This window comes from Homo sapiens, chromosome 12 (assembly GCF_000001405.40).
Source record: "Homo sapiens chromosome 12, GRCh38.p14 Primary Assembly".
In the NCBI taxonomy this organism is placed as follows: domain Eukaryota; kingdom Metazoa; phylum Chordata; class Mammalia; order Primates; family Hominidae; genus Homo; species Homo sapiens.
Genome location: NC_000012.12, coordinates 20,904,360 through 20,919,092, shown reverse-complemented (window position 1 = coordinate 20,919,092; position 14,733 = coordinate 20,904,360). Strand labels below are relative to the sequence as shown.

The following is a 14,733-nucleotide window of genomic DNA, read 5'->3' as shown; positions in this document are numbered from 1 at the left end:
ATGTGGCATATATACAAAATTGACTACCATTCTGCCACTAAAAAAGGATGAAATCCTGTCATTTACAAAAAAATAGTTGAGCCTGGAGAACATTATGTTAAGGGAAATAAGTCAGGTACAGAAAGAAAAATATTGCATGATGTCATTCATGTGAAGAATCTAAACAAATTGATCTCGTAGACATTAAGAGTAAAATTGTGGTTACCAAAGACAGGAAAAACAGGGGAAGGGGAAGATGGGGAGGAATTGGTCAATGAGTGCAATGTTCCAGTTAGGAGGAATAAGTTGTTGGTACTTACTGCATAGTAGGGTGACAATAGCTAACAATAATGCATTATATATTTCAAAAAGCTAGAAGAGAGGACTTTGAATGTACTCATAATTAAGAAATTATAAATGTATAAGGTGATGGATACACTAATAACCATGATTTGATTATTACACAATGTATACATGTATTGAAATATCACATTGTATTCAATATATATGATTATATGTGTGTGTGTATATGTGTGTGTGCATGTGATCACATTAGATTTGTTATATGATACCTACAAACCTAGCATGTATGTGGGTTTCCTCAAATTTCTGTTTGTGTGATTAATTTTTTTTCCTTAGGATTACAGTCTGAGAACAGGTATAAAGATATATATATACACACACACATACACACACACACATACATACACACGTATATATCTATATATCTTCCAGGCCAGTTCCCATATTCTAGTAATAATTTCTTGTGACTTTACTACACTCAGGTACACCTTTTCCTATACCATGGTGGTCTATCAAGGAATCCTAGCATCATGTGGAATGTTTTAAAGATATCCAAGCGATATCACACATGTTTGAATTTGGAATCTCTACAGTAGGTATATAATTATATTTCTTTTAAAATATATTTTTACAGTTGATTCTGATACAAAACATCTTTTAACCAATTGAGAATTATAAACTACAACCTCTAGCATTCACTAAGTAGAGATGTTGCTCCTGATAGTGACAGGAGACAGCCAAATGCCTAGGCAAATAGGGGCAGGTTTCCGGTGAAACCCCACCTCCAAGCTGATGACAGTTTAAAGTCCAAAAGCCAGGCTACAAGTTAAAGCCTTAGACCAGATTGAGAAGTTGTCTTCTTATTTGGCAGGCTTTCCTCTGACTGGTCCCACCCTCCAACTATTTTAGATATAACTACTCTTTCTTAATTGGTTTTCTATACTGTCATGCCCACCTTTGAGTGGTGCCTTCACTTTAACCTTTTTTGCATACTCAGAAACCAGTCAGCACACACTCCCCATCCTGTGCCTATAAAGACTCCAGACTCAGCTGGTAGACTGGGGAGACAGCCTGAATTCGAGGAAGAGACAGCAGGACTTCGGGGAAGACAACCGGCCCTTCCCATCCCCTCTCCAGCTCCCCTCTCCACTGAGAGTCGTTTTCATTACTCATTAAAACTCTCCACCTTCACCACCCTTCAACTGTCAATGTGACCTCATTCTTCTTGGACACCAGACAAGGGCCTGGAACCCACCGAATGCAGGTACCCAGAAAAATCTGTCACACTGGCCTTTGCCCTCACTGGCAGAGGGCAGCCACCCAAGGTAAAGAGACAAGGGGCCAACTGAGCTGCTAACATGCTGCCATCTGTTAGACTGTAGACGGTGGAACTAAAGGAGCACCATAACAACCCCTCTGGGGCTTCAGGATCCTGAGCACCCTTGCACCTTGCCTGGCTGCCAGCCCTGCATGTAACTCACTCGTTTCAGTGCCTGGAGCGGTTGCCCAGGTCCAGCATTCACTCACTCGCACCTGGTCTGGCCATGAGAAACTCACAGAGCTTGTTTCTGTGTCGATGACCAGGACAGCCCACATGGTCCTGCACTACGTCACTCACACTCTCCCTCCCACAAGGGGTTGAGCATGGCAGACCAAATAAACAGGGCACCTCTATTGTGAGTCCAGTGAAGAGGCCAAGAAATATCCTGCATCACTACCAGAAAATGCAATATTTAAATATTTGATCTCATTTTCTCTATTTCTTATCCAGCTTGTGAAGATGTGGAAGATATCTTCTTGTGCACAATGAATAAACAAACAAGTATGCAAGGAAGTAACACAGATTTTGCTTCTCCCAGAGAACAGACAGATGCAATGAAGACACATCTTATCAATGGGTTTTGCTTTCTCAAGCTAAAGTCGGTTTTTCTTAATCCACTTCCATGGGTCCAGTAGAAACTTAACACGTATTATAATAAGTTGTCTCACAATTACACCTTGCAATATTTGAATATTTCTATTTCTTCTGCAGGATCTTAATGGGAGGTTGGAAGAAGATCCATCGAGGTTGTTAGTCAAACACAAATTCAAATTTTAAATTAATAATATTTATAATTTCTGAAAAATATACAACTTAACATGAAAATATATATTATAGCATAAATCCAGGCCAGATTTTGGCCTAAGTAATACATCCAAAGTGTTTCATTTTTTTTAAAGGCATCAGGCTTTTCTCTTTATTTAGGCTATTAATCTATCTTGTCCTTTTTACCTCCCTTATATTCTAGTCACTGGTTTTATTAGCAGTTACAACTACCAAACAATTACTTTTTATTGTATCACACACTAACCATGCCTCTCACTTTAAATTTTTATGGATCATATATTCTAATCTTAACCATAAAGGCATAGCTATATCCTAACCATGGGTACTCCCATTTTTTATAGTTTATTATAGATGCATAGACTTATCCATTGGTCCACTGTAAGTAAAGAATGTTGGAATTGTCAGTGAAAGACCAGGAACACCTCAAAAATAACATCTTAATGAATCAATGCAATGTTAGTTGGCAGCAGCATTGTCTTGCATGTCCAAATTACATGTTTTACTATCTGTTCCAGCAGAAGGTACAAAATGTTCACCATTATTTAAGAATTCTAAGTTTGCTTCATCCATTACTTTTCTTTCATTGTCCGATGCCTTGGTATCTTTTCCTTGAAATTTTTTCTTCATAGCAAAAATGAAAACAATATATAAAACAAGTGCTGGGAATCTTAAAGCTATAGATAAGCCCAAGTAGACCCTTCTGTGAAAAGAGAAAATAGAGAGTCGATTATTATTTTAAATGTGTAAAATATCTTACATTTTTTTCTCCCCAGTATGCATATCTTAAAAGAAAGAAAAACAAGTTACACATACAAATATTAAGAGAACAATTCTATTTATTATTTTCATTGGGGGCATAAGATATTTTTCTATTATTAAAAAAACATATGAAGCTACAGAAACTAAACCCCAGCTGTCTCTAGCCTTCCTTTGGGAGGGAGGAAAATACATAACTCCAGCCCCCTCAAGCCATCTCATTCTACCTAAGGAGTGGGAGACAGAAACTGAGAAGCAAGTTTGAAGTTCACAGTCCAGAGGTACAGGCTCACTAAAAGATTGAGGCCTTATCATAGAACTACAGGATGCTACTTTGTCTTCATCGCCTTACACCACATTAATAAAGGCTTATATACAGCAATTCCTTTTACCCAATACATTTTGTCTGGCTGTCAAGAAAAATTTGCAAGTCACATACTAAAAGACAATAAACACAGTCTGAAAAGAATAAGACTTAAAACCAGACCCAGATATGTCAGGGAATATCAGGGATGGAAATTTAAAACAACTATTATTAATTTGTCAAGTGGTCTAATGGATAATGTAGACAGAATGTAAGAAAGGTTAGCAATTTAAGTAAAGAGATAAAAATTCTAAGAACCAAAATGAAAGAATACAGATAAGAAAACTGTAACAGAAATGATAAATGCCTTCATGGATTTATTATTAGATAGAGCACTGCTGAGGAAACAATCTCTAAGTTTATATCAATAAAAAAAGCAAAGAAAAATAAGACAAAAGAAAGAAAAAACAGAATAACCAAGAACATTGGAAGGACTACACAAGTGTTTATAATGAAAATACTTGAAGGGGAAAATGAAAGGAACAAAATAAAGATTTCAAATAATAAGTACAGAAAATTTTTATTGAATTAATGTCAGACACCAAACCACAGATCCAGGAAGCTCAAAAAACACCAAGAAGGATAAAGGCCAGAAAAACTATGCATAGGTTTGTTATTTTCAAGCTATAGAAAATCAAAGATGAAGAAAACATCCTGAAAGAAACCAAAAGGAAAAGCAAACCTTATTTATAGAGTAGAAAAGATTACATCAGCCTTCTCTTCAGAAACCATGCAAGCAAGAAGAGAGCAAAGTGAAATATTTAACTGTTAAGAAAAATAAAACACCAACTTAAAAATTCTGTACCATATGAAATTATCTTTCAAAAGCTAAGTCGAAATAAAGACACTGTCATACAAACAAAAATTGAGGGACTGTTTTGCCAGTAGACTCTCCTTGCAAGAAATCTTAAAAGAAGTTTGTTAGAAGGAAAATGATATAGGTCATAAACTCGGATATACATAAAGATGGAAGAATATCAGAGAAGAAATCAGTTAAGGTTAAATAAAAAAATTATTCTAAATTGATTTAATAGAAATCAGTTTCTTTAAAATAATAATAGAAACAATGTATTTAATTATATATAATATACATGCTTATTCATATGTGTATGTATGCTTACAGTAAGTGGAGTAAATGACAGCAATGACACAATGTGTAGGAAAGAAGAATTAGGGTTATTTTGGTATTATAAGGGTACTCATAATCTGTGAACTAATAAAGTGTTACTAAAATATAAACTTGGATTAGTTCTAAATGTATATTGCAAATTCTAGGAAAATCACTGAAATTTTTATTTAAAAAGTACAACTAATAAACTAACAAATGAGAGAAAATGAAATTATATAAAATGCTCAATTAAAACAAAACGGGAAGACAGAGAGTGGAATACAAAAATAGGATCAAAGAACAAGGAGAGCAAATAGAAAATAGTAACAAATATCGTCAGTATTCTTTCAATTATATCAGTAATCACTTTGAATGTCAATGATATAAATACACCAATTAAAAGACCAAAATAAGCCAGGCATGGTGGCTCATGCCTGTAATCCCAGCACTCTGGGGGGCCAAGATGGGAGAATCAAGTGAGTACAGGAGTTTGAGACCAGACTGGGCAACAGAGTTGCCCATCTCTAAAACAAACAAACAAACAAAAAATCAAAAAATTAGCTAGGCATGTTAGTTCATGCCTGTGTTCCCAGCTACATGGGAGGCTGAGGCAGAAGGATCTCTTGAGCCCAGGAGGTTGAGGCTACAGTGAGCCATGTTCAAGCCACTGCTCTACAGCCTGGGTAGCAGAGTGAGACCCCATCTCAAAAGATAACAATAAGATTGTTAGAGGATTAAAACCAAGAACCAAACTATATGTAGTCTACAAGAAACTCACTTTAAATATGAAGACATACAGAATAAAAGTAATTAGACTGAGGAAGATATACACTGATAACATTAATCAAAAGAAAATGGGAGTACCTATTTTAATTTTTTAATTTCAAACAGAGCAGACTTCAAAGCAAGGAAATTTATGAAGGATAAAAAAGTCTTTACATAATAACAAAGAAATCAGTTATCCTATTATCCTTTTACAAAACAGAACAATACTTAACATGTAAGCATGTAAAAATGGAGTGTCTAAATATGTGAGGAGAAAATGATAGAGCTGCAAAGAGAAATGCAGTAAGTCTTCACTTAACATTGTCTACAGGTTCTTGGAAATTATAATTTTAAAAGTGAATTTATGTATTGTATAATGAAACCAATTTCACCATAGATAATTGGTATAAAAATAGTTACTATGGTACATAGTGTATTGTTTTGCTTAAAATCAGTTTCTAAGAACCTATGGACAATGTTAAGTGGATACTTAATGTAAATGAACCCACAATTATGTTGGAGACTTCAACATGCCTCTATCAGAAATGCACGGATTCACCAGGCAAAATTCAATCAGACATAGTTGAACTCAACAACACTATCAACCAACAGTATAACAGATGTAACCTACTACATCAAACAGCAACAGACTACAAAGTCTTCCCAAGCTCATATAGAATATTCACCAAGATAGACCACATTCTGGTCTATAAAAGATATCTTAAGAAATTTAAGGCCAGGCGTGGTGGCTCAGGCCTGTAATCCCAGCACTTTGGGAGGCCAAGGCAGGCAGATCACTTGAGGTCAAGAATTTGACACAAGACTGATCAACATGGTGAACAACATGGTGAAACCCCGTCTCTACAAAAATACAAAAAAAAAAAAAAAAGGCTGGGCGCAGTGGCTCACACCTGTAATCCCAGCACTTTGGGAGGCCGAGATGGGTGGATCATGAGGTCAAGAGATTGAGACCATCCTGGCCAACATGGTGAAACCCCATCTCTACTAAAAATACAAAAATTAGCTGCGTGTGGGGGTGCAGGCCTGTAATCCCAGCTATTCAGGAGGCTGAGGTAGGAGAATCACTTGAACCTGGGAGGTGGAGGTTGTAGTGAACTGAGATTGCACCATTGCACTCCAGCCTGGGCGACAGCAGTGAAACTCCATCTGAAAAAAAAGAAAAGAAAAGAAAAAATACAAAAAAAAAAAAAAAAATTAGCCAGGTGTGATAGCACACACCTGTAATCCCCGCTACTCAGAAGGCCAAGACACGAGAATTGTTTGAACCCAGGAAGCAGAGGTTGCAGTGAGTGACATCGTACTGCTGCACTCCAGCCTTGGTAACAGAGCAAGACGGTCTCAAAATAAATAAATAAATAAATAAATAAATAAATAAATAAATAAATAAAAATAAAAATAAAATAGAAGAAATTTGAAAGAATGAAAATCATGTAATATCTGTCCTTAAACCACAAGGGAATTAAACTAGAAGTCAACAACAGAAAGATCATTGGAAAGTCTCAAAATCTGTGAAGATTAAGCAATACACTTCTAAGAAACATATGGGTCAAGATGAAATTTCATGAGAAATTTAAAAATATTTTGAAATAAGTGAAAATAAAATTATAACATCAAATGTTATGGATGCAGTGAAAGCAGAATTAGAGATAAATGAAGAATATCTTAAATCAATCATTTAATCTTTTACCTTAGCAAACTAGAAAAAGAAGAGCAAATTAAATCCAAAGTAATCCGAAGATAATAGTAAAAGTAGGGCACAGTGAAATTTAAAATGGGACATGAGGGGAGAAAATCAACAAAAACAAAAGCTGTTTCTCAGAAAAAAATCAATAAAATTGGAGTCCCTTGCCAGGCTAATTTAGATAAAAAGGAGGACACGATTTACTAATATCAGAAATCAAAGATGGAACATCACTGTAGACCCCATTGACCTTAAAAGGATCAAAAGGGAATGCCATAAACAACATCATGCCCCCAATTTTAATAACCTGAAAGAAATGGACCAATTCCTTGAAAGATACAATCTACCTGAATTCACACAAGAAGAAACAGACTATCTGAATAGATCTATATCTGTTAAAGAAATGAATTGATAATAACCTTCTAAAGCAGAAAACACCAAACCAAGATGGGTTCATGGGCGAATTCTATAAAACACTTAAGTAAGAATTTATACCAATTCATTACAATTTCCTACAGAGGAATAGAAGCAGCAGGAATACTTCCTGTCTCCTATGAGGTCAGCATTATCCTAATACCCAAAGCAGACAAACATTACAAGAAAAGAAAACTACAGAGCGATACATCTCACAAATACAGGTGCAGAAGTTCTCAAAAATAGCTAATTGAATTTGACATTGCATTAACAATTTAGGCACCACAACCAAGTGGAATGTATTTCAGGTTTACAAGACTGGTCCAACATTCAAAAATCAATTATATAATTTATTATATTAACATGCTAAAGAAGAAAAAAATCACATGATCACATCAATAGATGCAGAAAATGCATTTGACAAAATCAAACATCCATTTGTGAACAAAAACTTTCATTAAACTAGGAATAGAGGAGAATTTTATCAACCTGATTAAAAACATATACACCAAAAATTCTACACATTTTTTACTTGATGGTGAAGAACTCAGAGCTTTCCTTATAAGGTTGGAACAAGCCAAGAATGTCCCTTTTCACCATTAATTTTCAACATGGTACACAGAAAGTCCATGTGATTAAAAAAAAAAGTCAAAAGGGAATGGTATATATACAGATTGAAAGGAAGGAATAAAACTACCTTTGTTTGCATATGTATATGTAGAAAATCTCAAATAATAGACAAAAACACTACTGGAACTAATAAGCAGTTATAACAAGTTTGCAGGATATAAGATTAATATGCCAAAGTGAAAAGTTTTCCTATAAATCAGCAATGAACAAGTGGAATTTGAAATTAAAAATACATTACTATTTACGTTAACACCCCCAAAAATGAAACATTGGGTATAAATTTAGCAAAATATATACAAAAGGCATAGGCAGAAAACTATACAACTCTGATGAAAGAAATCAAAGAAGCACTAAAATATGAAGTGATATTCCATGTTCATGTACAGTATCGTAAGACTCAATATTGTCAAGATGTCAGTTTGTCCCAACTTGATACACAGATTCAATGCAAGCCCAATCAAAATCTCTATAAGTTATTTTGTGGATATTGACAAGCTAATTCTAAAGTTTATGTGAAGAGGCAAAAGATGCTAAATAGCCAAGACAATACTTAAGTGTAAGAACACAATAATAGGACTGATACTACCTGACCTCAAGACTTACTATGAAGCTACAGCAACCAAGACAGTGTGACTTTGGTAAAATAATATACGAATAGGTAAGTGGAAAGAATAAATAGCCCAGAAATAGACCCACTTAAATACAGTCAATGGATCTGTAGAAAAACATAAAGGTACTACAATGGAGAAAATATAGTATTTGCAACAAATGGTGCTGGAACAATTAGATATCCACATGCAAAATAATGAATTTAGGCTTCACAAAAATTAACTCAAAATGAATCACAAACCAAAACGTAAAATGCAAAACTATAAAACTCCTAGGACGTAACACAGGAGTAAGCAACCTAGGATTCGGTTATGACTTTTCAGATGCAACAGCAAAAGCACAATCCATGAAAGAACTTATTGACAAAGAGGACTTCATTACAATTTAAAACCTCTGAATAAAACAGTTATCCAGGCATATATTCCAGGTTTGGAAGACAGGTTCAACATTCACAAATCATTTATATAATTCATCATATTAATGGACTAACTAAGAAAAATAATCACATGATCACATCAATAGGAGGCTAAGGTTAGCGGATTCCCTGAGCCTAGGAGTGCAAGGCTACAGTGAGCTAAGAAGGTGCCACTGCACTCCTGTTTGGGCAACAGAGCGAGATCCATTTCCAAAACAAAACAAAACAAAAAAATTCTGCTCTGAGAAAGTAAGAGACACTGTCAAAAGGATAAGATGAGAGTCAGAGGCCACAGACTGAGAGAAAATATTTTCAAAAGGCATATTCAATAACTGTTTTCAAAAATATTAGGAACTGTCAAAATTCAACAATAGAAAAAACAGTTAAAAAGTAGGCCAAAGACTTTAACATATATCTCCCCACAAAAAATATAGAGGTGGCAAATAAACATATAAGAAGATGCTTCATGACCGGGTGTGGTGGCTCACACCTGTAATCCCAGCACTTTGGGAGGCCAAGGCGGGCGGATCACAAGGTCAGGAGATCAAGACCATCCTGGCTAACATGGCGAAACCCTGTCTCTACTAAAAATACAAAAAAAAAAAAAATTAGCCAGGCGTGGTGGTGGGTGCCTGTAGTCCCAGCTACTCGGGAGGCTGAGGTGGAAGAATGGCGTGAACCTGGGAGGCGTAGCTTGCAGTGAGCCGAGATCATGCCACTGCACTCCAGCCTGGGCGACAGAGTGATACTCTGTCTCAAAAAAAAAAAAAAAAAAGAAAAAGATGCTTCACATCTTATGTCATCAAGGAAATCAAGCAAATGCACATTTAAACAACAATGAGATACCACTACATACCTATTAGAATGGCCAAAATCCAGAACACTAGACATTAGATGTGGATAAGGAAGTGGAGCAATAGAAACTCTCATTCATTGTTGGTCAAAATGCAAAATGATACAGCCACTTTTGAAGCCAGTCTGACAATTTCTTATAAAACTATACATATTTTTATCATATGATCAAGTAATTGCACTTTGGTGTTGACACAAAGAAGTTGAGACCTGTATCTATACAAAAACTGGCACATGGATAACTTTTATTATTAACTTTTATTTATAATTGCCCAAACCTGCAAGCAATCAAGATGTCCTTCAGTAGGCAAATGTATAAACTATGGTGTATTGAGACAATCAATTATTGTTCAGTGCTAAAAAGAAATAACCCATCAAGCAATACAAACAAGTACAGGAAACTTAAATGCATATTACTGAGTTAAAGAAGCTACTCTGAAAAGGCTACAAAATGTATAATTCCAACTATATGATCTGAAGCAGACAAAATTGTGGAAGTAGTAAAGAGACTATTGGTTTCTAGGGATCCAGGGATTACTGGGAAAGGATGAATGAACAGGCAGAGCACAGAAGATTTTTAGGGCAGCAAGACTACTTTTTATGATAGTGGAGTGGTGGTTATGTATCATTTTACATTCATCCAAACCCACAGAAAGTTCAACACTAAATGTGAAACCTGATGTAAACTGTGGATCCTGAGTGATAAAGATGTGTCAATCTGGTTTGTCAATTGTAACAAATGTACCATCCTGATGGGAGATGTTGATAATGGGGAAGGCTATGCATGTATGCGGGAGCAGGCAAGATATGGGAAATCTCTGTGCTTTCTCCTCAATTTTACTGTGATTCTGAAACTATTCTAAAAAATAAAATCTATTAAAAATCATAAGGTAATTATTTAACTTTCAGTGTATTAACTGGCAAATGAACTGCCCTTTTTAAAATTTTTTTATTATACTTTAAAATTCCACTTTTCATTTCCTTTTACTTTTACCTAAACCTTTACTGAAGGAAAAAGAAGTAGTACAGTTTTTAAAACAATGTTTTAGTGGCCTTTTCATACTGAAACTAACATAACTAAAGTATCACCATTTCAAAATGTTATGCTAATGCTTGGACTTGGTGATTATTGCTTCGGGGAGATTCTGGGGAGCATCTTGCCAGTTGTCCTTAAAATGAATTATGATTTCAATTAAAATAAATATTTTCTTAAAGTAAATTTATTAAGTTTTTCTTTGTTATTTTTTTCCATACTTTTATAAATAGAAATGAAATCTCCCAGCCGGGAGCAGTGGCTCACTCCTGTAATCCCAGCACATTGGGAGACTGAGGTGGGCGGGCCACCTGAGGTCAGGAGTTTGAGACTAGCCTGGCCAACATGGCGAAACCGTATCTAGTAGAGATACAAAAAAATTAGCCTGCCGTAATGGCGGGCGCCTGTAATCCCAGCTGCTCAGGAGGCTGAGGCAAGAGAATTGCTTGAACCCAGGAGTCGGAGGTTGCAGTGAGCCGAGATTTCGCTACTGCACTCCAGCCTGGATGACAGAGTGGGGCTGCGTCTCAAAAAAAAAAAAAAAGGAAGGGAAGGGAAGGGAGGAGAAGAGGAAGGGGAAGGGGAAGGGGAAGGGAGGGGAAGGAAGGGGAAGGGAAGGGGGAGGAAGAAAGGAAGGGAAGGAAGGAAAGAAGGAAGGGGAGGGAGGGAGGAAAGAAATCTCCCATTTAGGGAAAGATTTTCTATAATTATTTTAAATTTAAGAGAATGTCTGTGGGCTGCTGAATGCTGCTTTACTGTAATTCCAGAAAAATCTGGATCATTACTTGTTGGGGATGTTAGACAGTGAATTTACACATCAGGTAGAAGAAAGTTCTTTTAGTAAATTAGATCCAGGGAGTTTTCACCAGAGATCTAACCTGAACTAAGAAATATTCCCCACCTTACATAAATAATAGCATATTCCGCACACATTTTTCATGTAATGCTTCCTTTTTTCACATAATATATATGTGAATATACCAATATATTGTGAATAGCCTTCCATATTAGTAAGTAAAAAGATTTTTCCTTTTTTTAAGAACTCAGAATATTCATTTGCCTGCATGCACATTATTAATTTAATTGATATCTTCTTGATTGGTTCTTACTTTGTTTTCAGTATTTTGGGAGTATAGATATCTTTAGGATAAATTCCTAGAAGTATTGCTGTTGGCTCAAAGTTATATACTTTGCCAACACAGTCTTCAAGCAACATTTTTGATTGTTGACAATCTGGGTGATTTTTAATTATAATTCTTTTATTATCAAGATGATGTTCATGTTCTTATTCATTGATAATAACAGAACTACAATTATAACACAATTGATAATAACAGAGCTGCAATCTTTTTATATGTTTCATAACCATTAGTGACTTCTTCTTTGAAAAATGTTTCGTGATTTTTTTGTCTTTATATTTTATAGCAATTTTAGTTTTACCAGAAAACTGTATGGAGATCTCCCTGCCCAACAGGTACACAGTTTCTCCTATCATTAATATCTTGTATTAGTATAGCACATTTGTTAAAACTGATGAAGGAATATTGATACATTATTAAATGCATATTTTACATTAGAGTTCACTTTTTATGTTGTAAAGTTCTATAGGTTTGGCAAATGCATAATGTCATGATCCAATATTACAATATCATATAGAATAGTTTCACTGCCCTAAAAATTCCTTGTGCTAGGCCTACTCATTCCAGCCTTCTCCACACTGAGCCCCAAGAAACTACTGATTTTGTTGCCCATTGTTTTGCTTTTTCTACAAGATCACGCAGTTAAAATTATACAATCTGAAGCTTTTTTGGACTGCCTTCTTTTATTTAGCTATATGAGTTTAAGTTTCATTTTTTTCTTTTTGTAGGCTGATAGCTCATTTCTTTTTATTGATTGATATAGTTTGGATTTCTGTCCCTGCCCAAATCCCATGTTATATTGGAGAAGGGGCCTGGTGGGAGGTGATTGGATCATGGGGGTGGATTTCCCACTTGCTTTTCTCATGATAGTGAGTTCTCACCAGATCTGATGGTTTAGAAGTGTGTAGTCCTTCCCTTTTTACACTTTCTCTCTCCTGTTGTAATGAGAAGACATGACTTGCTTCCCCCTTCCACCATGACTGTAAGTTTTCTGAGGCAGACTAATAGAGAATATTGGTACTGGGAGTGGGACACTGCTATAAGGATATGTGAAAATGTGGAAACAACTTTGGAACTGAGTAACGAGCAGAGGTTGAAACAGTTAGGAGTGCTCAGAAGGAGACAGAAGATGTGGGAAAGATTGAAACTTCCTAGAGACTGTTGAATGGTTTTGACCAAAATGCTGCTAGTGATATGGACAATGAAGTTCAGGATTGTCTCAGATGGAGATGAGGAACTTATGGGGAACTGGAGTAAAGGTCACTCTTGCCATGCTTTAGCTTAGAGACTGGTGGCATTTTGTCCCTGCTCTAGAGATCTGTGGAACTTTCAACTTGAGAGAGATGATTTAGGGTATCTAGTGGAAGAAATTTCTAAGCAGCAAAGCATTCAAGATGTGACCTGGCTGTTTCTAAAAGTGTTTACTCATATGTGTGAACAAAGAGATTATCTGAAACTGGAACTTACATTTAAATGTTTGGAAAATATGCAACCCAGCCACGTGGTAGAAAAGAAAAACTCATTTTCTGAGAATAAAATCAAGCCTGCTGTAGAAATTTGCATAAGTAAAGAGGATCCAAATGTTAATAGCCAAGACAGTGGGGAAAATATCTCTAGGACATTTTAGAGACCTTAATGGAGGCCCCTCCTATCACCAGCCTGGAGGCCTAGGAGGGTTAAATGGTTTTGTGGGTCAGGCCCAGGGCCCTGCTGCCCTGTGCAACCTTGGGAGATGACACCTTATTTCCCACTGACTCCAGCTCCAGCCATGGCTAAGGGGAGTCAAGGTACAGCTTGGGCCATGACTTCAGAGGGTGCAAGCCCCAAGCTTTGGTGCCTTTCACATGGTGTTGGGCTTATGAGTGGGCAGAAAGCAAGAGTTGAGGTTTGGGACCTATTCCTAGTATGTATCAAAATGCCTGGATGACCAGCCTGGCCAACATGGCAAGACCCCATCTCTACTAAAGACATGAAAAGTAGTCAGGTATGGTGGTGCATGCCTGTGGTCCCACCTACTCAGGAAGCTGAGGCACAAGAATTGATTGAACCCAGGAGGCGGTGGTTACGGGAAGCTGAGATCATGCCACTGCACTCCAGCCTGGGCATCAGAGCAAGACACTGTCTCAAGAAAAAAAAAAAAAAAAAAAAAAAAAAAAAAAAAGCCTGGATGTCCAGGCAGAAGTCTGCTGCAGGGGTGGAGCCCTCATGAAAAACCTATACTAGGGCAGTACAGAGAGAAAATGTGGGGTTGGACTTCCCACACAGAGTTCCCATTGAGGCACTACCTAGTGGAGCTATAAGAAGAGGGCCACTGTCCTCCAGACTCCAGAATGGTAGATCTACCAACAGCTTGCACTGTGTGCCTGGAAAAGCTGCAGGCACTCAGTACCAGCCCATGAAAGCAGCCATGGGGACTGTACCTGCAGAGCCACAGGAGTGGAGCTGCCCAAAGCCTTGGGCACAAATCTCTTGCATCATTGTGCCCTAGATGTGTGACATGGAGTCAAAGGAGATCATTTTGGAGCTTTAAGATTTAATGACTGCCCTGTTGGGTTCT

The 14,733-nt window shown here is 36.6% G+C and overlaps 3 protein-coding genes across 4 annotated transcripts in view; all 3 read right to left on the bottom strand.

Annotated features, from left to right (window-relative positions):
• Nucleotides 1-14,733, bottom strand: part of SLCO1B3-SLCO1B7 (SLCO1B3-SLCO1B7 readthrough) — a 275,549-nt gene that overhangs the window by 172,130 nt on the left and 88,686 nt on the right. The window lies entirely within an intron of this gene.
• Nucleotides 1-14,733, bottom strand: part of LOC124902894 (putative solute carrier organic anion transporter family member 1B7) — a 150,851-nt gene that overhangs the window by 133,163 nt on the left and 2,955 nt on the right. The window lies entirely within an intron of this gene.
• The window catches only part of SLCO1B3 (solute carrier organic anion transporter family member 1B3), a 106,207-nt gene continuing 93,655 nt past the window's right edge, over nucleotides 2,182-14,733 (bottom strand). For both annotated transcript variants that reach the window (NM_019844.4, NM_001349920.2), the window contains one exon: nucleotides 2,182-3,089. In NM_019844.4, the coding sequence (NP_062818.1) occupies nucleotides 2,846-3,089 (244 nt within the window). In that variant the 3' untranslated portion in view covers nucleotides 2,182-2,845. The remainder of the gene's footprint in view (nucleotides 3,090-14,733) is intronic.